The sequence below is a fragment of the Homo sapiens genome, chromosome 6 (genome assembly GCF_000001405.40).
Source record: "Homo sapiens chromosome 6, GRCh38.p14 Primary Assembly".
NCBI lineage: Eukaryota > Metazoa > Chordata > Mammalia > Primates > Hominidae > Homo > Homo sapiens.
The window spans coordinates 9645984-9671626 of NC_000006.12; the positions used below are offsets into that span (position 1 = coordinate 9645984).

The 25643-nt window shown below is 35.8% G+C and overlaps 1 annotated feature.

The window, feature by feature from the left end:
* Window positions 2021–3220: an enhancer, noted in NCBI's record as "BRD4-independent group 4 enhancer chr6:9648237-9649436 (GRCh37/hg19 assembly coordinates)". NCBI's record gives its function as "activates an origin of replication core promoter dependent on BRD2, P300/CBP, MED14 and CDK7 cofactors, and independent of BRD4, by STARR-seq in HCT116 cells {active_cell/tissue: HCT116}" and the evidence as "EXISTENCE:reporter gene assay evidence [ECO:0000049][PMID:35650434]".

Genomic DNA, 25643 nt, shown 5'->3' on the forward strand with positions numbered 1-25643 from the left:
GGTGGCTCTCAGATTTATATCACTTTTCCAGACTTTCCCCCAAGCTACAGACTTTGGATCCAACTGTCTATTTGACAACTGCACATTGACATCCATTAGGCATCTCAAATTTAAAATGGATGGAATGGAATACCGATATAGTATGACCGAAATTTTGGTGAGATTATGGATCATTTTTATTTCCTCCTGTATAGTTTTTGTATACTCTCCAACATATCCTAGGACGAGCATGTATTACACTTCGACTAGTATTACATTTAGAATCAGATATGCAGTAAACATTTTTCCAAAATAAATATCTATCTCAAGAAACAAAGGTCCTCACTTTGAGGCACATGAGTATATTTGTCTAATTTAAGAAAGAAATCCTGTTTCTTTAAATTCAAGTTTTGTGTTGGAGCTGCCACTGGGAGGTTGTGCTGAATTTCCCCCATTAAGCAATTTCCTAAGGAGAAACCACCTGATCAAGCACTCATTGCACCATTTCTTCAGATTTTTAATTTCAAAACATTTCACTTGGCAGAGGCAGACCAGGGAGTCCTGTCAGTGACTGCTGGTATTTGGCAATGACAGTGGAAACACAGGAAGGAACCAAGCACAGAGCAAGCCAGCACACTTTAATCAGCTCCTAGCATTGCAAGAGCCAAGATTGACAAGGGCCTCACACCCCTAGGTATAAGCAAAGTGACACACTCCAGTGTAGCTGTGAGGTTTTATAGCAGTGTTATCACTCAGAGAACAGAGACATAAATGCAGAGGGGTTGGAAGAAAAGCACATAATGTTTTCACACACTAAGCTTAATTTCAATATTGTTTCACGCTCCTGGGGTTTTGTTATGAATGACTGTAAAACTACATCGTTTTGAAAATTAGCGGATTGCAAGGAAATTGCATCTTTGATGACGCTGGTGCAATGGGTTGATATACTGGTAGCTTGGCCTCACACCAGGGCATGCTAAGTTGGCCCTAGTTTCAGAGAAAAGATCTGAAGAAAATGACAAAAGATAACAGAAAAGTTTTTTTTTTCTTTTGCATCCAGTACAAACTAAATTTAAAAAGAAAAAGAAAAAACAAAACAAAGGAAGAAAAAAAAAGAAATGCACAATGCCAATAATATTCTAAGGAGTTATGCCTGTAATTTAAAAGTAGCTCTAGGGTATTTCTAACTTACATGACCAGTCTGTGCTGTATGGGGGTAGGGTGACACATGTAGCATTTGAACTTGACAGCATTAGACAGATAATGTTTCTATAATCCCCCTCATTTCTGAACAATTTCTTGTTGTATGATATATTGTTTCTACAGCTGTTCTACATTCAGTGGCCATAAAACCATCCATTTGTGTAATCTCAGGGCAAAAAGCACCACAAAGAGAAGCAATGGGACTGGGAAAATGATCCATCTTCATTTATGCATTTAAAATTTTTCTCACTGTGATAGCCTGGTGAGGTGGATATCTTCTTTTGAAAACCACAGAGAGCCAGCTGCCTCTTCCTAGTCCAACAAACATCAGTACAGACAATAACATTAAGGATTCATAATCCCACATAGAAGTACATGACATTATCCTAACTAAATTTTGTCTTTTTACATCCCCAAGACTTATTAATACATGGGATAAAAAGCTATGGGAGCTCCAGCTTCCACAGTGTGTGTGATGGATATTGTATTCCAGCTGTTCCATTTGGAGGCTTTTGTCCCAGATTCATCAAGTTCTGGTAGAAATAAACAGAATGTGAGTATCTGATTCTCATAGTTTTTCTAAGCATAGTTTTCTCATTTCTCCTTTCTTAAATGCCAAAAAGATTACTTAAATCACAAACATTATCAATTTTCTCATTTGTATGGAATTTTATCTCAGCTGAGTATGTTTTACCTCCAGACTGTGATAAATACCTCAAATATTTTAAGTCCTTTCCTGTGGAAGATATGCTGGCATTAGCTATACCATCATGCCCCTGCCTTTGCTAGTTTCTTTTTTCTTTACAAGACCTCTGACCATCGTCCATAGAACTGCTGTTCTGTTGTCTCCTCCCTATCAACTCTCAGGCTTCTCTTAACATTGTCTTCCTGGACTTTAAACACTTTATATCACTTTTCCAGACTTTCCCCCAAGGTACAGACTTTGGATCCAACTGTCTATTTGACAACTGCACATTAACATCTATTAGGCACCACAAATTTAACCTGGCAGGGATACAACTATTGGCTTCCACCCCATCCCGCTCCTTTGAGAAGGAAGTTCTCAGGCCTTCATCATCACTGCAGCAAATGGTGAGACATCTACCAGTTGCTCAGACCTAACACCTGGGTGCCATTTTGCATTTCTTTTTCCTTCACATTCTAAATCCATCCAATCTATAAAAGCTAGTTCACAGAGACCCTTGGAATAGCTCTTTAATTCTTTAAAATTGCTCTCCTGTTTCTCTGCTCCTGTCCAAAGAGTCCAAAGAGATACTTTAGAGTGTCTGGTCACTGAAGCAATCTGCTTCCTGGTCACTGCATGCTATGCTGAGATCAGCTGCTGATGTAACTGACAACATGGTTCTCTGCATGGTCAGAGGTGAGTGAGGGACTGTAGATAACTCAGCCATCCCTCAACTCTTATTGATACTGCATGACCCGTCTAAGTTTCTGCCATTATCTTTCTTCAAGCCCTGGCCTTGTGATTCTATTGAATTGTTTTCAAATTCACCTACTCTTTTCTCTGTCATCTCAATTTTATTATTGAGCCCATGGAGTAAATTTTCATTTCGCATAGTTTTTAGTTCTGAAATTTTCACTTGCTTCCTTTTTATATTTCTACTTCTCTACTGAAAGTGTCTATGTTTCCATTTATTCCAGACTTTACCTTTACTTCATGAAGGATGATCAACATAGATGATTTAAAGGCTCTCCAACACACGAGTCACCTGAAAATTAGCATCTGTTGATTATGTTTCCCATAAAAATTGGTCAGATTTTCCTGGTTTTTGTATATCGAGTAACTTTGGATTGTACCCTTGACTTCTTAGATACCTCTGGAGAAGGAGGATGTTTGCTTTTTGTTTGTTTGTTTTAGCAAAACAATCAACCCAGGTAGTTCTACTTCTGCGTCATCTTTTGGTGGTGGTTCCAATGGCAGTTCAGTTCTCTTTGACATTGCTATGCTGTTTGGATCTCCTGCATGCATGTGCCATCAGTTTGGTCTACAATTTGGGCTTTATTGTTCACTTCCCAAAGCCTTTGCTGTTGTTCTTTGGATTTGTTCCATGCATACACAAGTTGGTGGTGAGCTCAGAATTGTGTCAATTCATACACAATATACCTCCCACCCCAACATACAAACACATCTGAACACCCTCTTCATGCAACAGCAAAGCCCATTTATTCTGGTTTGTCTATCCAGAGCTAGAGATTTTCTCTCAGGGCTTTTGAGGCCTCTTCTAGATATCTCATATACATATAATGACATAATATATAGTGTACTGACTTTAATTGCTGTATAACAAATTACTACAAACATAGTAGCTTAAAACAATACCCATTTTTCCTCACAGTCTCTGTAGGACAGAAGCCCAGGCCAGTTAGGTCCTCTGCTCAGGGTCTTCACAGGCTATAATCAAGGCGTCAGCCAGACTGTGTTCATATCTGCGGCTTGACTAGGGAAGAATCCATTTCCACATTTATTCAGGTTTTTGAAAGAATTTGGTTCCTTGTGGTTGTAAGACTGAAGTCCACACTTTGTTCCTGGCTGTCAGCGGGACACTGCTTATATCTCCTTGAGTCCTTGCCACAGGGTCCCCTCCATAGGCAGCTCGAAACAGATTCCTTCAAGGTCAATAAAAGGATCTCTATCACTCAGAACCTCTCTTTTCATACAAGATCTGGACTCTCTTTACTAGGGCCCACCTAATTAGCTCAGACCCACTCAGGGTGATTTCCCATTTGATTAACCTAATTACATTTGCATAATCTCTTTACCTTTGCCATATAACATAACCTAAGCACAGCAGTGACTATCCCATCACATTCACTGGTCCGTTCTAAACCCAAGAGTGGGGATTACAAAGGGTCTGTGCACCAGGAGGAGGAATTTTAATGGCTACCTTAGAATTCTGCCTACCACAGTGATATTTTGCATATGACTTCCTTCAGTTAGCAAAATGTTTTTGAGGCTCATCTGTCTTCTATTAGGTATCAGTAGTTCATTTCTTTTTATTGGTGAATAAAATGAATAGACTACATTTTGTTAATTACCAGTTGATGAAAATTTAAACTATTTCTATAATTTTGGCTATTATAAATAATAACTTTACAAACATTTATGTAAATGTTTTTCTTTTTCTTAAGTAGATGTCCAGGGGTGGAACTTCTGGGTTGGACAATAAATTTAAAGAGAAGCAAATCTTAGCAAAGGATATAGTTCCTGGACTCATATATCCTGATTTCAAATCCTAATTCTATTCTTACTAGCTGTGTGGTCTTCAGCAAATTATCTAACACACATGGCTTGACACAGAGCAGACACTGTAAACTACCATGAATACTCATTCTGAAAGCCCAGTAGGCATTCAACACATATTCGCTGATTGACTAACAGGTTGAAGATTCTTTCTCCCAAATAATCTGTATAACATATATAGTTTCTGAATATGACTTCCATGGAATTATGGCTCAGATTTCTTTTTCCATTTCTTAGTGACATGGCCTGTGTTTGGGGATAACTCTATGATTGTTTCCTTTGAGAGGATTTGTCAAATAACCTGACACCCCCAAAGATTTCTTGATAAACATTACCCTTTCTCTTCCCCAATAACAAAGAAAAACAATGAGATATTCCCATATCTGTAATGACTTTCCTGAACGGAAGTTGACACACTTATAATTTTTTTCCCACATGGGACTTTTAATATTCTGACCTATAACATCAAATAAACCCTGAGGTTTTTGTTTTTTGGTTTTGGTGGTTTTTTGTTTGTTTGTTTTTTTGTTTTTTAACTACAGGCTGGTGGTCTGTCTGGGATATATTTTATGTGTGAGGGAAAAATAAAATTTTATTTGCTGCCTGCAGACTAAATTCTTTTAAAGAAGAAAGTTTATTGATGTTGTAAGCAACATGATGCCTCTTGGGATGAAGGATGACCTGGGCTCAAGCCACCTCTGACGCCTCCCTCTCTTTCGTCACATTCTTTTAATTAAGAAGTCTGCTGATTGAAAGTTCATTTGCTGGCACATTTGTTAGTTTTGGCAAAATAAGGTTATGTTTTAAGAAATCTAACAGGCTTATGATGTCACGTTAAATAAGAGCACCTTCCCTTTTTAATGTTTCATCATTTAGGTCACGTATTAAACCCTTAACATTTCTTCAAATTGTTACCTTACTATGACCCAACAATATGATAACCGCATCTTCATTTCCTGATTTTATGAAATATATAATTCCTATTAGAGAAAGGTCATAATAACTTACATGGTATTTCTATATCTCAAGCTTGTCATGGAAGAATTTTGTTCCCAGAAAGAAAATAGCTTAATTCCCCCTGAATTTAGATTATTTAGCCTGTCAGTCACCATCGTTTTGTGAATCACCTCAGGAAAAAAATGTGTCTCTCAGACCAGAAAATGAACTCCATAAAGATCCTAGTTTGCCACCATCAAGGACCCTGGGAAATCATTTTCAATCTTACGGGTTGTAAAGAGTTTCCTTTGTTTAAAAGCAAACTGGGAGTTAAAAAGCAAGGAAGTAGGAAGTTCCTAAAAATTAAATGAGGTCTTAGAAGTAAAGGTGTGGTAGCCGTGTCTCCAAAGTGATGTTTAATAGGACAGGGGTTTGCCACTGAGTAAATTAGCTATGGGAGGATTATAAACTGTGGCTTGTAAGCTTGAAATTTTTTACATTTTCATCTTGTTTCTCTGTTGTTCTAAGTATTTAACAAATTCTTTTGGAAGTTCAGGCCTACTTGAGCTACAATGAACTATTCTAGAAGAGGGGAGTTTCTCCACACTTCTATTAGAGTTTGAAAGTGGAAGGCATCCTGCAATTTAGCTGGTAGTAGCAGCAGTAACTCCGTCGACAGCCCCCAAAAGGAAAATGACACTGAAGAGGATGCCTCTCATGTCATATGATTCAACCATATCTGGAGATCACCTTCCAATAGTAAAATCTTACAGGTTTTTTGTATGGACTAAGAAAGAAGTTTTCTCATACTACCCCTCCCTAACGTGGTCTCTGATGCTTCAACCCTTACAAAACAGAATTACTATCATGTTAATGATTATCTCAACTTGTTTTCTTTTTTTCAAGACGTTTATGATTTCTATCTACTCCAAGACGACTGTATGTTCTTTGACGCTAGGGATGTGACTTCAAATTTGCTATCTTCTCACGAGGATTATCACACACTGTGTAATGTACATAGTATACACATAGTACATTTATTTTATTATTATCATTATTATTACTGACACTGAGTCTTGCTCTGTTGTCCCGGCTGGAGTGCAGTGGCATGATCTCAGCTCACTGCAACCTCTGCTTCCTGGATTCGAGTAATTCCCCTGCCTCAGCCTCCCAAGTAGCTGGGATTACAGGTACCTGCCACCATGCCTGGCTTAGTCAATGTTTTTTAAAGGTAGATTGTAATCTAGATTTTTAAAAACTATTATTAATTTTTAATTTAATTGACTAGTTTATCATATTCTACAAACTACTGAGTTTTGTCATCATTTCTTTTGTGAAATATATCTAAATGTCATATCATGAGTTATTATCAGGTTCAACTAGCTGTAATGGAAAGATACAGAACAAGGAAACTTAAGTCAAAAGACCAGTTTCAGTCTAGGCTTGGCCCCTTACAAGTAACATAATCCAAGTCCTGGAGCCTCCTGTAAGCCTTCATTTAACTACTAAATAGCAAAATAAAATGTTTCTCTTAGAGTTGTGACAATTCATTGAAATCACATATGTGACGGTGCTTTATTATTTACAGTAGCAGTAGAAGTAGTAGTGTGTCCGGAGTTGGTTCCTTCCGGTGGGTTTGTGGTCTCACTGACTTCAAGAATGGAGCCACGGACCTTCGTGGTGAGTGTTACAGCTTTTAAAGATGGCAGGGACCCAAAGACTGAGCAACAGCAAGGTTTATTGTGAAGAGTGAAAGAACAAAGCTTTCATGGCACGGAAACGGACGCAAGGGGGTTGCCGCTGCTGGCTGGGGTGGCCAGCTTTTATTCTCTTATTTGTCCCCTCCCATGTTCCGTTTCTGTCCTATCAGAGTGCCCTTTTTTCAATCCTCCCTGCAATTGGCTACTTTTAGGATCCTGTTGATTGGTGCATTTTACAGAACGCTGATTGGTGCATTTTACAATCCTCCTGCTAGCTACAGAGCGCTGATTGGTGCATTTTACAATCCTCTTGTAAGAAAAGTTCTCCAAGTCCCCACTCAACCCAGAAGTCCAGCTGGCTTCACCTCTCAGAAGCAGCTGCATCTATCAGGAACTAGAAAAGTGCTTTCATACATTTAGCTGGAGAAGATGTTCTTTAATGGGAGGATAAAAAATATTCCATGTTAAAAACTAAACTTCAAAAAAGGAAGTAATATACATGCCTTAGCTGTATCTTATAGTAAGGTTAACTGCAGTATCCATAGTTATATTCATTGATATTAAATTCCTTAAAGAAGATATCCAAAGGAGGGTCCCTAGTTTTTTTTTTAAATAGAAGAGATGAAATAGTAATAGGGAAAATGAAATGGTTGATCACAGCAATTTGAAATCGAGTAATTTTCCTTCTTCCTTTAAGAGAACATTACCATTCAATACTCTTTCAAAAGAAATGCATCATTCATGTATTTCATAATAAATAAGTGAGAAAACCAACAATAATAATTTTTAAAAAATAAACACTAAACTAAGACTGCTCACTTCCTTGCACCTCCAATGGATCAATTCCATTTGACAGACTGTGTCAGGTTTTCAACCTGCCCGTTCAAAAGCTAATAATGTGCAATCCCTAAAAAGCGTCATCTATGCTTCCTAGGAAGCTTCCTTTCTTAAACTGAAACTGAATCCGGAAAGCAGTGCTAATATGTTTCAAACCTGGCTCCTTCACACCACAAAATCAACTGTGCTTTTCAAGACAATCACTTCCAAACATGCAAACAGTTGAAATCCTCAGCATACTTTTACTTAACTTACACTCTGCTTCAAACACTGTCGTTTATAAAGCAATAATGAAAATAACAAGTCTATAAACCTGTGCTTACTGGCAGGGGTTTTAAGCTCCCAGGTCTTCAAACCTGTAGCTTAAGCAATGACTAGAAGAATTAAGGAAACAGAAGAAAAAGGGGAAGAGAAAAGGAAGGATCAATCTCTAACTCTATATCTCTGTGTGTGTCTATATATGTATGTGTGTGTCTATGTATATATTAGTTATATGTCATGGAAAGAAAATACTGGGGGAAATAAGAAGATTCAGGAGAAAGAAGCTCAAAGAACTTTGGCCAGGAAACCACTTAGCTATAGCAAAACAACCATGTGGTATCTGCAAATATGCTGAAAACCCTATAGTGACACCAAATCCAGGGACTATTTAGGGAGTGGTAATTCCACATTTTGTACATACATAGGAGGGAATTGAGGGTGTTATCCTGCTTGGAAGTGGGCTAAGGTACCTTATTTAAATCTACAAACAGTTTTAATTTAGGTTACATGTTTATTTTGGGTGTCTGGAGGTGAGAGGCTAAGGAGGATTGGTGGAAAGAGCAAAATTTCTTAAGCAACTTTTGACACTACCAGTTTATTAAAGAATCTTCTTCTAAAGGTAAATGGGCTGAAAACAGATGTACTGAGTGAACTCATGCATTTTAGTGATATTTTCATTCTTGGGCCTTGCAGCCAACGACACTAGTTTTTTATGCTACACATTTTCTTCATCAACAGAAGGGTACAAGAGCAAGCTGAAAGCAGAGGCAAAGAGAAAGTATCCAAAGTTCTACTCCCAAGATTCACAAGTTCAGTTTGTGATATGTCTTAACTTTCAATTAGACAAGGGCTCCGTCTGGGTGACAACAGTAAAGCCACATAACTGCTTTGATTGGATTTTATTTCTTTGCACAAAACAGGCCAGTTTTTTAGCCTTCAGTCTCATATAATTGTGGTTCTTTGTGAACAAAAGAACATGTTTTTAGTCTACTTTCTACGGATTTCTTATTTCAGGAAGATAACTTTAAATTTATTTACTTCAATATGTTGAGACACATATATGACTTGAAAACGCTCTCCATTAAGGTTACAGGATTGAGATAAAATATGTTACTCTGGTTTTTAAAGTGGTCTTCAATGATCTGGAAAAGTCTCCCACCTGTAGGACTTCATCAAGGTCCTCTGAGTATTTCTTCACCTGATCCTCCCACAGGAGCAGGACTCACTCATGGGCAAGGTATTGGATCAATATTATAGTTCCAAGTTGATACAGAATTTAAAAACTAAAACACTCACTCCCTGAAGTTTGACTGTTGCTGCGTAGACAGACAAACTGAGATTTCTGGGTTGGACATCTAGCACAGTCCATTTTATCATTCATCATTTTTAGATTTCAAATTGAGTGCAAAATGTCATGTAACCTATTTAAATCATACTTACTAACAACCATGCAAGTAAAGGCAAAAAGGTTCTCATTCAGGAGGTTTTCATCCATTTCCTGAAACGTCCTGATGTGTGTAAAGATCGTGGCTGGCAAAACGTCCTAGAATTTCGTCCTGACTGGGACACTTATTTGAGATGGGCAGGTCACCTCTCCGACACTCACTAATTTCCTCCTCTTGTGAAATTCCTGACCTGCTTTACCTCAAGATTTCTTAAGGAACAAACAAAATAATGTGACAACATTTTGAAGACTAATGTGTGATATTAACATAAAGTAAAATCTGTTTCAGTGTTCTAAGTTAAAATCTACAAATTGATTATGTTTCCAAGAGATATTCAAATAACTGTTAGCTATGATAGAAGTAAAATCTTTTAGTTTTAAAATGTAAAAAATAAGAGCCAGTGCACAAAACAGCTGTCTTTAGAGAGACTTCATTTGTTTATGATCATTTTTCAGCACTCTAAAATGGTCAGCAATGGTCTCATCCATACATCTGTATAACACTCCTAAAATATAAAATAATTCTGCACCAAAAAATCAAGACAGATGTAAAAATTTCTTTCCACAACTATCTAACAGCTAACTTCTGTGCTTCATCACTCATGAGGAAGTATTCATAAATGTAGCTGGAGCTGGGGAAGCTTTTCTCAGAAACAACAGAGGATAATGATATAAAGAATTATTCGATGAATGTTTCTGTGTTTTTTTACATGTGAAAACTATATGTATGCCCCTTTTCTTGTATCTACTAATGGAAACCATCTCATCTATTTACACTGTATAGATCTTCATTTGTTAAGCCAATGAATTCGTGACAATCAGTCTTAGGGCAACACGGCTAAACACAGGACCCTACTCCACCATTACGTTGTACATTTAAAACCATCAGAATTGGCTAAGTTTGGAGACTAGAATACCCAATCAATAAAAAGTGCTTCAATTTAGTTTTTAAACTACTGTCATCATGCTGCCTCATTATATTCCCTTAAAAATTGACTAGAGGCAATTTTGCTGAATATTGAAAATGGAAAGTAGTAAAAGTGGAGGAGAAAAAGGGGTGCCAACACCATTATAGAGTGGCTCACAAAGTTCTTGAGCATGAGGATTATGTATTAAATCTTTAATTTCGGCACAAAAATAAGTAAGTGTAAGTGTTACACATAGAATTACTCAGAGAATAGAGAAAGGCAAGAAGGATGAGGTGGCGAGGAGCAAAGAAGGGAGGACAGCAGGATGGATTACCACTACTTAAGTTACTAGGTGACTTGGTTTAGTAATAAAGTTGCAGTATAGCGTTTTTAACTGTTCCCTAATATTACATCGCAAAGAGAAAAGATCATTGCCTCCTCAATGACTCCAATACATGAAATAGATACTATCCTGGATGTAGAATTCCCTACACCAAAACAAAACACAAGAAATACATGATACTAAAATGTTACTCCTTGGAAAAACTAAAAGTCACATTTTATTTGTAGAACTTAGACTTGATATTAATTATTCTTGTCAAATAGGTAAATGCATTAAATTTTAAGGCTAATCAAGTCTACTGGATTTGAAGTAGCATGTGCAGTATGTCCTGCCTCCAGGAATTGAAAATATTTGGCATTGCAAATAGGCCAGAAACCTGAGTGTTTGCTTCTCTATTTCTGTCAACCCCTTGGTCGATAGACCCTCCTTTGATACATTTTCATCAGTTTGCTTCCTGAACACAAATGATCTTGCGTGAGTTGAGAAAAATGGAAGGCAAATAGAAATGCAGCATTTGTCCAATACTGTTGTCAAACCATCTTCAGAGTAATCAACTATTATTAGTTAATTATAACAATAAAGCTCTTCATGAACTGTAGCAAAATTTTCAATAATGTGCACTGTGTTTTTCATGACTTTCCATAGACCCTGGTAAAAAAACAGTCTGTCTCTTTAAGTATTGCAGAAAATAACCCTCTTCCAGGTACGGTAATTAACAGGATGATAGTAAAACTGTTCATCTGATCTGCCCTGTACATAATTAATGTGTTTGTTACGAGATTGAAATTGCTCTTTTTTTTTTTCAGCAAGAGGAAAAAAAAAGGACTAACATAAAATGTTGATATTTTAAGTAAAAACGTAGATGTTTCCTATGAACCTGAAGGTATGACAAATAAAATGAGAGCTTGGAAAAGTATAATTATCATAAGAGAATCAATTCCCTCTCCATCCTGATGATCTTCAGTGTCATTTCATTTTACATGACTGTGTGGTAGGTAACAGTAGAATAGCAGAAGAACTATCATGAAGCTCAAGAGGAAAACAATCTCCCACTATCAGTCACTTTTTGTTTCTTTCTTTGGCATTCGTTATTGAACTTTGGGGTTAAAGCCCTCTAGGCTCTCTTACCCTAAAACCCCTTAAAGTTTATTCTAGGTGGTGGAGGGGGCAGTGGCAGAGGAAGAAGACTGTGGATTCTTCAGGCTTAAAAAAAGAATATAGATCATGTGTACATTGAGCATTCTTCATAAATTCCAAGTGAACTAAATATCCTATGAAGTAATCTGATTTCTTGAAAGATGTGAGAGAGCAATAGCATTTTTGTCTTTGCGGGATCTACCTGAGTCATCATGGCAACTTACAAGTGATTCCTTTCTGCTTATTAAGCCTTGGGCCACCAGCCAATCAACAGCAGAACCAGAAATGACTTCCTCAGGAGGAAGACCTCAGCCCAGGTGTATTCAGTTAAAGTCAACATTACTTGAATGTTTAATGTAGGAGAGTCCCTAACCTAGCACTGGGAGGGAATCAGATATCCTCAATTAACAGAAGAAACAAGAAAATTAAGGAGCTTCCAATGAGGAAGGAAAGAAATGACATCCAGTGAAAAATATGAAATACAATCAGAATATGGTCAATAGAAAGTTCTTAATTGCTCTGAATACACAGAGATGAAGAGGTTGGTTTCTGTCATTCATCAGGCAGACCCCAGAAAGCTTTATAGTGGAGCTGATAGCCAACCTGGCCGTTGAATGCCGAGGATTTTGATGGGACAGTGTTTTAGAAAGTGGGATTTCATAAAATGAAGATGACTTCAAAGGCCTAGAGATAGAAAAGTATGTTTGGGGAAAAGTAAATATTTGGGAATGTGAGAGGGTTATTGTATTGTGTTGAGCTCTTTAGAATCAATGAAGGTCTGTCCTCTACTCCTGTAAAAACCTGGAACATTGCTTCTTAAATTGGAGTCCAAAAATATATCTTCAGCAATCTCAAGGTCTCTTGAGTTTTATTTTTAAATTAAAGTTTCTATTTCCATGATGATACGTGGGGTGATGAAAACATTCTAAAAATTAAGATTATGGTGATGGTTGCAGAATTTTGTAAACATGATAAAAACCACTGCCTTGGGCATTTTAAGTAGATGAACATTATGGTAAGTATATTCTATCTTATAAAGCTGGTAAAGATTATTTTACACATTTTAAAGAGGCAAATATATTTTTAAATAATGAAATAAGATCTTCATTACTTAACGTTATTATGCTATGTTGATCCCTGTGAGGCTCTTTGCTATATTTTAAAAGATCCCCAAGATTCCCTTTAAAGGGGTTTGTAGTTTAGTCCAAGGCTCTATAGGCACAGGATGGAGATAAAGAAATGAAAACTGCAGATGTTAAAAAGAAAGATATAGACATTAAAAGAGATGGGATCTTAACTTGTCTCCATGGCAGGAGAGACGATTTGGTTTAGAAATTCAACATTTCTTTGTTAACACATAGTATTTAAAAAGTAGAGATTTTAACTAATGTACATGTAGCATGTATCAGCTTCTCTATCCCTGATTGGATTGTGACAATTTTCCTGTGCAGAATGCCAAGAGTTTGAAGTTAACTACCTTTTGATCAAGATTAGTTAATTACCTGTACTTAGGTTCTCTCAATCTTTACTTTGGATCTTACAAGAATTAAAAGTATGATATAAACTTTAAAAGAAAACTGAAGGTTTAAAGAACTGCATTCTTTGTAAACATTCTTAAAAAACAAACTTATTGACATGGCTCATTTCCTTCTAAAGACAAAAATAAACACGCTGTTCACAATTTTTAAGTTTTATATGTGACTGAGACAATTAGAAGAATCTCAGAAAGAGAATATCAGGAAAATGCAAAAAGCCAAGGGTTTCAAGGCAACTTAGAAAGACCAACCCTCTGGATAGGGTAGAACTTATTTATTTCATAAATTATAATACATTTAACAAAAAAATTAACAGAAATATCCTTTTCATATCAAGAAATTAAAAATAACCACGTATGTAAAGCAAAGGGACAGATGAGTCATAGACTGACCTGGTGACAGGCTGGAGCGTGAAATGAGAGCTTGTCCAACAGCTTGCCTGAGAAGAAGCCAAGGGACCAGCCAGGAAACCAGGAACGAAATATAGATGGCAGCATGTGTCACTTGGCACACCGCATGGTGACTCCAGTCCTGCCAAATGTACAGCAGGGACAGTCACAGCAGCTTAGCTGTATTTTAGGACCTAATCAAGGCATAAACCACAACTGCTGCTGTTGGTGGTTGACAAAGGAAACCAAACTGCATTTCTAATTGGGAAGAAGAAAATGTGGGCAAGAGAACAACCAACCAAATCTCATTGGGAGAAACCAAGTGTGACTAGGTTCTGTCACAAAGTTAAGCAAGGGCACATGTTTCACCAAATCTTGAAAGAGAATCATCAGAATGGATTAAGAGACACCTTATGAGCATGTTGGCCAATACATTCTTACTAAACTGATGCTCACCATGATTTTCTTTCCTCCCTGCCTGAAGACAGATAATAAAGCTATACATAGCAAACAGATTGCCATGGCTCAAACATCTGTTTGTGAGCATAGTACTATGAATTGCTTGTTTTGTCTGTTTCATATTCTTTCTGCAGAACTGATGCTCCTAAATGATACAAGATGGTGGCTTAAAAAAAGATTTTAAATTGTGCCTGATACTTTTTCCTTTTAATTAGCAATTTTATAAGTCCTTTTAAGAAATTTCTGAATACATTGGCAGAAGAACGCAGACAGAAGAAGGAAACTTAAGATGTGCAAAAAGATTTAATGATTTCAAAGAAAATAATGGTTGTTTTTAACGTTAACCCTTTTTAAACACAATACTGATAGAAGAAAACTATTGTACTCTTTTGTTTTAGTGGAGAAATAATAGATGTCTGTTCATGTGTTAAGTGTTACAGCAAAAAAAAAAAAAAATACACATACGGTTAAGTTAATGAATACTTTTCATTTTGTCAGAATGGCAACAGACAGAAGTACTTTGTAGAGACTGACTTCGTAAGCTACTTAAGACAACTTGCACCACTAAGAAAAAAATGTAGAACCATTTGGAAAAATGAAATTTAGTAATTCCAAGTTTCAAAGAAATGTCCACATTTCATTCTATTCAATAGAGAACAAAACCAATAGTCTTTTTATTACTTTCATCTGAAACATTGCATGTTTTAATCTGAGCCTTGCAGACTTTCATTTGGAGTTTGAACCAGACTTTCATTTGTAGTTTGAAGTTCATTTCGGAGAACCTCATTAACGTGAGATTGGCAATTCAAATGCAGGTGCAGTTTTCTGTTAATGTCATGCTGTTGTTTAGGTAATAAGAAATATTAAGTAATTGGCTTTAGATTTTGTAATTTTTTCCCTGAGTTCCTGCTAGATTTCATATTCTAGTAGTCAGTGTATTTTCAGTGAAATGTAAAAATATTCCTGTTCTCTTTGACCAGTATTAATTTTTGAGATCTTATTGCTGACACTTGAATCCCGTAATTGTCATACATCTCTGGTGTATGACAACATTTGATTTTTGAAGTGTGTAGACCATCTCTTCATATTTTCAAGATGCAATTTTACATTTCTGCATTTTAAAAACAGTTTGGCCATAATCCTAGATGCACGCTTCTAATTCATGTACCTGCATAGGTGACATTTGTGAACAGAAATTTGCATGTATAATTTGTGTTTACTTGTAACTTTCTGGTTATATACTGCTGATATCTGTGGATTCAAGTTACTGAAGTGAATACCAATAACAAAAAAACCCTTAAAAAAAGAATATAAAAGTAATAGGTACTCATCGTTAAAAAGTAGGGAATTTAGAAAAGCAAAAAGAAGGTAACATAAATTTCCTATACTTTTATATCAAAGGCAGATATAACAACCGTGACAATTTTATGGATATCTTTGAAATCGCATGGAGCATAGCATATCGACAGCTTTACATCCTGATATTTTCATTTGACGTTCAAATAAGGGCATGTTTGATATTATTTTAAAATGCTCAACAATAATTCTTAAGAATATAAAACATTCTAATGTATAAATTCATCACAATTAAACAAGTTTTCAGCATATATTGTTTTCTTTCATTTTACACAATGTTTTCTAGAATAATCATCTTTTGAATGATTTTTTTGGCTGCATTTCTGATTTTTTTCTTCAAATATATTCGTTAAATTCCTTGCTCAAGGTATATGATCATTCGTAAAATAATAATTTTCAAATGACTTTCCAAAAGGATTTTACCAGTTTACACTCTGATCAACAATATATTGGTGCTCACCATGTAAGACGTAGTTTTATTTCTCTCTGTACCACTTATCTACTTCTCAGTTTTGGATAATGGAATTGTGAATTTTTCAGAATCAGTTCATTATTGATTTATCAATATTATTTACATTATATGCTACCTCCTATAGTAATTATTTTTAAAATCTAAAAACCGTTTTAATAATCAAAGATTCCATAAATAGGATCCACAACTAGGTGGCTGCAACTCCCAGTTCTTAATTTTGATTAATTACTAAGTAATATATTTGACTATGTTTTCTTTTTGGTGGAAGGTAACATTTTTGAATGATATCTTTTCTCAAACTTTGAATACATTAGAAAATGTTCATGTGGCTCTCAAGTAAATATTTAACTGAGCGTGGAGTTCCTTTTCCCCAAAGCTTTGCCACACTATTCCATATTTCCTGACACTGGGGTTACAAAGACAAAGTCTGAGTTCAGCTTGAGTTATATGCCTTTGTTGGTGATTTGCTTGTTTTTCTTCCTGAATATTTTCAGAATTTAAAAAATTCCGTATCATTAAGTGTTTAACATTTTAACAAAAAATTAAAGATATATAATGATATTGCTAAATTATGATGCTTTTATACACTGGAATACTGTATACCCTGAAAATTATGATTTTGAAGATTCTAAAATAATATGAGAAATGCTCTTGACTAAATGTCAAATGAAAAAAATCAGGATATAAAATTGTATCTATAATGTCCTAAGAATGTTAAATTAAGTAATCTGGGTAATTGGATAATCTAAGACGTAACCTAAACACAAGTTGGGCATTAGCATTTTTCATTAATTTTCTGATATTTGATGACTCGGTTTTACCTATAAATTTAGTTTGCCTATTAATCTCAGAAAATTTTCTCATAGTCATTTCAGTTTTCTCCCCAAGTTCTAGGTAGAACTTCTAATCTTTATCTTCCATTCTTCTTCCCTTTCAATTTTTGACTTTACAGTCTGCTATGGGTAATTTTTGCACTAGTTCACTAAATTCCCGGGAACTGTGGTTTTGGAATGGACACAGAAAATACGATACCAGTAAGACAGAAGTTGGAATTTTGTAGTAGAGTTTTGAAATGACCCCAAACACAGCAGAAAGTAGGCCCCCTTCATTTACACTGTGGTGGTCTGTATTTTGTGTGAGTCAGTCTGAGTCTCATTATGCATATGTTTGCACATGAGTGATTTTTTGTGATGGGGTGGGGAAGGGAGGAGGTAAATTTTTTGGTTTTTTTTTTTTTTTTTTTTTTTGGTAAATTCTTAATTTTCTCTGCTTTGCTTAGTTCTACTGTTTCCAAGGTCAAAGAATGGTTTGACTACTGAATTTTTGTTTTATGTATATAGTGGAACTATGTGAAGTACAGAAAATTGCTAACTGAAATTTTAATATTTGGTGTTGCATTAGTTGTCATTCACCCATTTCTTCTAAATCCCTCTTAGCATGTCTTAGATTATTTTCATGATTATTTCAATGAAATAATTGTATAAAGGCAAATCAGTCACCATTGTCATCATATCATAATGTAAAGTCTTTTGCTTATTTTTCTAAAATATGTGAAAGGATCCTAGAAGTTTCACAAGTTAAAGTATTACAAAAGTTTAGAAAAACATATGGATAGAGAAGAGAGTTAAAACAGTGAGTGCTTTTTCCAGTTAAATGGGAGCTCTAGTCATTGAATGTGGAATGGGGTGACTTAAGAAGGTTTATTTAGAGGTGTGGGAAGTAGGCAGGAGGCTGGTCCTGTCTGGCAAAACATAGATCTGATAATCTTTATAAATTTATATATGTATAAATTTATATATATGTAAATATATATTTATATATTATGTTCATATATAAATTTATATAAAAATTTATTTATATCTATATGTGTGTATTTATATATTAAATACATATAAATTTATTTATATTTATATATAAATGTATATATATTTATAAACACATATTTATATATTTTTATATATATAAATGTGTGTGCGTGTGTGTGTGTATGAACACACACACACGCACACACATTTTTTTCTTTTGAGACAGAGTTTCACTATTGTTGCCCAGGCTAGAGTGCAATGGTGCGATCTCGGCTCACTGCAACCTCTGCCTCCTGGGTTCAAGCAATTTTGGTGCCTCAGCCTCCTGAGTAGCTGGGATTACAGGTGCTCACTCCAAGCCCAGCTAATTTTTGTATTTTTAGTAGAGACAGGGTTTCACCATGTTGGCCAGGCTGGTCTCAAACTCCTGACCTCAGGTGATCCACCTGCCTCAGCCTCCCAAAGTGCTGGGATTATAGGCATAAGCCACTGCTCCCGGTCAATCAAAGATATTTAAATATTGACAAATTATACTAACAGGCCAGACCAATCAGGAAGTCACGTGGTCAAGCTAAATCCAGACACTTTCCATGTATCCATTTCTTGCCTACCTATCCAGACTTAGTGCCTATATTGCCTATATGAGTTACATTGCAGCCACAGCAACCTCTTTTTGCTCTCCAAAATACCATGATATTTCATTTTCTGCTTGAAGTACCCCTTTTTACTGCCAAATTTGTCTTTGATCTGTTCTTCATCTTTTATATGGTTAGGCTTGGTTTCCTCACCCAAATCTCATCTTGAATTGTAATCTCCATAATCCTCATGATCCCCACGTGTCAAGGGAGAGACAAGGTGGAGGTGATTGGATCATGGGGACAGTTTCCCCCATGCTGTTCTTGTAACAGTGAGTGAGTTCTCATGAAATCTAATGGTTTTCTAAGGGGCTTTTACCCTTCACTGGGCACTCCTCTTTCCTGTTGCCTTGTGAAGAAGGTGCCTTGCTTCCCCTTCACCTTCTGCCATGACTGTAAGTTTCCTGAGGCCTCCCCAGTCATGTTGAACTGTGAGTCAATTAAACCTTTTCCTTTATAAATTACCCAGTCTCGGGTAGTTTATGGCAGTGTGAAAATGGACTAATACAATCTTAAATACCCATCTCCATCATCTTCTCCTGAACTCTTCAAATGAGTTACTTCCATCTTTATTCAAGCTACCACAATACCACCCAACCCATGGCTCTATTATTCCTGCTGTATTTCTATTATCCTGCTGTATTTCTATTATTTTCTCCTATTTATCTTCCCTATTGGAATATGATGAAAGAGACAGTTTTATTTTACTTTCATTTGCATCTAAGAAAAGCGCCTAGTTCCTTAAAGGTAATCAATAAAAAAGTAGGAAATCAATGAACAGATAGCTGAATGAATGATATTAATTAATCTTTCTGAGCCCCAGTTTTCCCATCTGTAAAATGTGAATAATACCAACCATGTATATTTGCTTTGAGAATTAAACAAACCAACATGTAAATTGCCTATATTGTGCCTGACCCATTTGTTTTCCCCCTTCCTTTATTCATAAGAAAAGATGACTCAAATTATAAGATCTTTTTGCCTCTCTTTGACCTAACTACTAAAAACGTGAGTGTAAAGAGTCAAATGATTTCTCTTAGCAGTTGGTGATATTATGGTGACATTTTTGCAACACTGATTTATCAAAGCATTGTGATTGTTAAAAGCCCAAAGAATGTCCTATAGTAGTAATTAGATAAGCTAAAATGAACTAACGGCAATAGGAGAGATGGTATTTCAGTACAGTTGTATTTTAGTTTCATTAAAGTCTATTAGATGCAAGTAATTTTGGAGAACTTGGGTGTCTCAAATACCAGTAAGATATGAAAAAGTGACTTTCATTATTCCTGGTAAAGAACATTCTGTTTTCAAAAAAAAAAAAAAAGAAAAGGACATTGTTTAATGTAGTACATTAAATTTCATTTCCCACCACATAATTATTAAAAGATAAGTAGCTCTTGCATTATTACTAAGAATAAATAATAAGATGGCAATTAAATAACTATCATTAATGACTTGTTCATTAATATGTTAGTAGTTGGCTGTTTTATCATGTGGATAAATTAATGTAAGATAGTAGAAAAGCTGGGCACGGTGGCTTACACCTGCAATCCTAGCACTTTGGGAGGCCGAGGCGGGTGGATCACCTGAGGCCAGGAGTTCGAGACCAGCCTGGCCAACATGGCGAAACCCTGTCTCTACTAAAAATACATAAATTAGCCAGGCATGGTGGCGTGTGCCTATAATCCAAGCTACTCAGGAGGCTGAGTGGGGAGAATCATTTGAACCCGGGAGGCAGAGATTGCAGTGAGCCAAGATCCTGCCACTGCACTCCAGCCTGGGCAACAGAGCGAGACTCCATTTCAAACAAACAAACACAAATGTATAGTAGAAAAATTCAGTAAATAATAAAATAGAGTGCTGCATATTCTGTCTCAGTTCATTCAAATATATCTGATTCTTAAGGAACTCTAAAGAAGAGATTCGCATACTGAGTACAGAAGTAGTTCAAAGCTAATAGGTGCTTATTACAAAGAAAACTCTCTCATGTCGCTGAGTTTAAGTTTGTTTACTCTTAGAAAAACTTGATTTCCTGTGTCTGAGGAAAATAAGCTTATAAAAAAGATGAAAAGGCTGCTATATAGCACTGTAGTAAAAGGATGCTAACAAACTAAGTGTTAATGAATCAAAAACATATGGATTACACTTCACTTCAAATAGAAATAATTTTAGAGTTAAGGGGGAAAGTACTTGGCAAAATGTAATAGGTCTTTGTCAGTCTTAAAACCCAAACATTTAAGGTATCTTCAGGAAGCTCCTAGTGATTCTTTCCTTTTGTTTTTATCTATCATTTTCATTTTATAGAAGAGATCAAACTCTTTATGGCCAAATGACCTTTCAAAAGTTTAACAATATATTGGGTAAGTTATAAACAAACATCCTAGAAGTTCAGAGATAAGAAAAGATCAAGGGGGTAATGTGTATCAATTAACCAAAACCACCATACTAAAACAGAACATTTTCTTCCTCTCCTTGCTTATTGCGATTTAAAAAGTAAAGAAAAAGAGAAACGTCAGTTTTTATACACCTTTTTAAAACCATCCTCTCATATATATATATATACACACACACACATATATATCTTTAAATTGCAGCAATGATTTGTATTTTCAAATTAGTTTAGTGAATATCAATCTCTTCATTGCACAAAACTGAAATCTATATAATGTTAGTAGTTCTAATTGCAGTCCACATTTATGTAAAAACCTTTAAAAGGTAATTGTCTTCATGCTTATGGCGAACTGGGAATTTTGTCAATACAAGAAGAAAATCATGCTGGATACAGTGTTCAGAATATATACTTGTTTAATGTATAGAAACCCCTTTGTTTAAGATCATTTAGGCATGTTTTTAGGCTGTGTTCACTCGGGTATCTAAGATTTGTTCTTTACTGAAAAAAACTGATGTGATTCTTCAATACAAAAAATGTTTCTTTAGTGACTAGTCTACTGACTTCATCAACAAACAGTTCACTGACTTTCCTACCTTGTTGCTTAGGCCTCTTTAAGAATTCTCTTTGGAAATAAAAATGTTTGTTTCTTGTTTGTGAATACTTAAGACAGTGCCTGACCCTTGGTGTCAAAAGCCTTTGAGTCAATTTTGAGGTGGGAGCCTCCACAAGAAAGCCTAGGAGTACAAAATGTCCCTGGAACTGCAGTCAGGGAACCACAAGTGTTCCATTTGGACTGTCTGAGTGCCCTCCTTTTGTTCTCTTGCTGTCTCAGATGTTCCTTGATTCTAACTGAGTTCGAGCCCTGCTTCCCATCTCCTCTAATCAAGGCAACCTGTTTATGCTTGAACTGACAAAAATCAAAGGTTGTTTTGTAATCACCACTCACTCACCTACTACTTTGGATTAAGTCTCACTCCTGGTTTCTATTTCCACATGCTCCCACATTTCATTCCAAATTTCAAATTTGGCCAGGTCCAAGTTGGCTTTTTATTTGTCCTCACCTTCATTCAAATCCCCATCAAGTTTGGAAAGTGCTCAGAACCCTGGGACCATCCCTCTGGAAGGTGAAGCTGGCTGGGCTTCTGGGTTGGGTGGGGACTTCGAGAACTTTTCTGTCTAGCTAAAGGATTGTAAATGCACCAATCAGCGCTCTGTGTCTAGCTAAAGGTTTGTAAACACACCAATCAGCAGTCTGTAAAAACGCACCAATCAGCGCTCTGTATCTAGTTAAATGTTTATAAATGCACCAATCAGCACTCTGCAAAAACGGACCAATCAGCACTCTCTAAAATGGACCAATCAGCGCTCTGTAAAGTGAACCAATTCAGCAGGAGGTGGGTGGGGCCAAATAAGGGAATAAAAGCTGGCCACCCGGGCCGGCAGCAGCAACTAGCTGAGGTCTCCTTCCACCCTGTGGAAGTTTTGTTCTTTTGCTCTTTGCAGTAAATCTTGCTGCTGCTCACTCTTTGGGTGTGCATTACCTTTATGAGCTGTAACACTCACCACGAAGTTCTGCAGCTTCACTCCTGAAGCCGGCAAGACCATGAACCCACCGGGAGGAACAAACAACTCCGGACGCGCCACCTTTAAGAACTGTAACACTCACTGCGAAGGTCTGCAGCTTCACTCCTGAAGTCAGCGAGACCACGAACCCGCCAGAAGGAAGAAATTCCAGACACATCTGAATATCTGAAGGAACAAACTCTGGACATACCATCTTTAAGAACTATAACACTCACCACGAGGGCCCGTGGCTTATTCTTGAAGTCAGCGAGACCAAGAACACACCAAAAGGAACCAATTCTGGACAGACCTCCACTGCAGGTCAAGATGATGAATATTTGATGGCACGTAAAACACTACTCAGATGTGATTGTGGAATTGGATTGAGTTGGATAGACACCTCTAAGGATAATTTAGACATTTCAATGAATAAGCAGCTCTTAATGGCGGAAGGGTGAACTGTGTATTAAACAGAGTACATGAAACAATATACTTCCCAAGAGGTAAAAGTATTAGAGCTTTAAAATAAGCAATTTATAGAGTTCAATGCTCAGGCAAGCCAGATTATTGACTGAATGAGTTACTTCTTTTTTATTAAAATTTTCAATGGCTCCCCATTGCCTGTGATAAATACATGGTCCCCACTATTGGGCAATTTCCAGTTTTTAGTCCACCTCTCCTGCAGATCTTCACCCTCCTGCCCATTGTTCTAGCCAACACAAATTACTTTTAGTTTTCAAACTTGCCTTGGTATTTCCCATCAGTATACCTCTATTCGCTGTTTCCTTTTGCATGGAAAAGTCTAAGTCCATCCCAAATTTCCATCAACATGCCTCCATTTTATCTGCATGGCTACAATGTTGCCCTTCATGACTCTAATCAAAGCTTTTCTCCCCACCCTGACTGTATCCTCCAAGTAGACATAAACTCTCTCTTTAGGAAAACACTGCCATCATACCAACACACCATCTGCAGTTTGCTATGTAGATAACAATGCTTAGTTTTCCCTCTCTATGTAATTCATTACTAAATGTGGGTTGTTTTTCTTATCTTCTTTTGTTAAAAAATTATAAATTGCATATAACCTTCAGAAAATTTCAACAAGAATGAACTAAAGATCTCAAGGAATGTTTGGAGTCTATTTTGGTGCATAAAAATAACAGATCAGTAGCAACACTTATAAAAAGATGAAACAGGGTTAGTTTCATGTGTGTGTAAGTTTTCCTGCACATGTTCACAATAAGAGAGGGGCAGTTTCTTTTTAGAGTACCTTATATACTTCCATCCTACAACCATCTATTAGCAAAAACTATTATAACATACAACAGCAAAAATAATAATCTTCATTAATTGCTTATGGTTGTTCCCGGGTAATACAGACACTTGAGAAATAGACATTTTCTTTTTTATGCTTTCCAATTTTGCTCTTGAATGGATCTCTAAATTTACACTCCATTGTCCCATGATACACAACTTTTCTCCAATCCCCTGTCTCTACCTAATATCCTGCTATTTTTATGAGCTTCAATAGCCTGCTTTAAAGTGGTAGTTTCTTTAAGAAAATAATTACAATGTAAATTAGTCTTCAACAAATAGTAAGGCACATTTTGGAATTAAATGTGTAGGTATTGAAGCTTTCATTCTTGCTATGTTTAAAACCATTATATAAGTTTAACCATAACCATTCAATCTGTGTACCTAGAAATATCATTCTTTCTGTTGCTAATGAAGGTCCTACGGCACAAATTTATTAAAGGTATATGTTTGCATGGGATAATAATTGGGTCGATAATATTAAATTCATAGGCTCATTATTTAATTGCAAGGGCAGATTATGAATACAGCTTCTAAAATGTATTTTAATGAAAAACACTACATCCTGACCTAATCATATCAACCTTATGCTATCTAATTAAAGATGCAAAAAATCATTAGAGTTGCAAAATATTAGTTCCAGCTCCATCAGGCTGTGAGCTGCCCCTTCATGAATATATATTTTTTTACCCCATGATAAATAGTTAATGAGGTAAAAATGACAAAATTTGCATGTAGGCAAATTAGTTTAATAGAATGATGTCTTTTCTGACTACTGAAAGTGACCTTTTCCTTATCAAAAAAATGGCTAAAATACTTTGAAATTATCATGACTGTCTTTGCACAAATGACAGATTATATGTATTAACAATATAAAAATTATAAAACTCAGTAATCCTAAATTCTCATCATACTGTAAATGTGTCCTGTGCTTCTGCATTTATCAACTTAATAAAAGGAAATTAAGCATATTATAAAGTATCCATTTATGAGGCAATTTTTATTCCAGATCATAAAGATGAAAAGCACATGCTTAATAGCTAGCACTATGGCAAACATCTAGATCAAATTTTTAAAGCACAAGAATTCTAGACTACTTATTTGAAATACTTATATATGAAAATGTCTACTCCACTCTTAGCATTTTAGATTATAGATGATTGTTCTCAATTAAACTGGCATTATATCTTGAGATTAGTACATCAATTATTCAACAGGGCTACCTTGCTTCTCTATTAAAATAAACTAAATAAGCAAACATGAGAGAGCTTGAGAAGAATAATACACAAAAATCGTAAGAAAGAAAATGTCTTCATGGTGTAAATACCAAGGGCATGAAGAGACATAATAAACAAATAAAATAAACATGTCTATCCCTGTAAGTTTGGGAATGTTTGTGTATGCTTAAGACACATAACCACAACAACAAGAAATAACAGGTGCTCTACAGATTTTCAAATTATTTGCATAAACATTTCTATAATTCCTACCACTCATGGTTACTGAGTCTGTACATGTAGAGGCAACAGCTGCCATTTGTCTAGAAATTTGAATTTCTACTAATGGTTCAAATGAATCAAAGCCAAAATATCTTACTTAAGACCCAAATGACTTTGATTAAATTGTTTACTTCAATTCCATTTCATTAAATTGTCTTTTCTTTGATTTACTTGAATGTTTACACACAGTGTTATGGACATTCTAGGTTTGAAG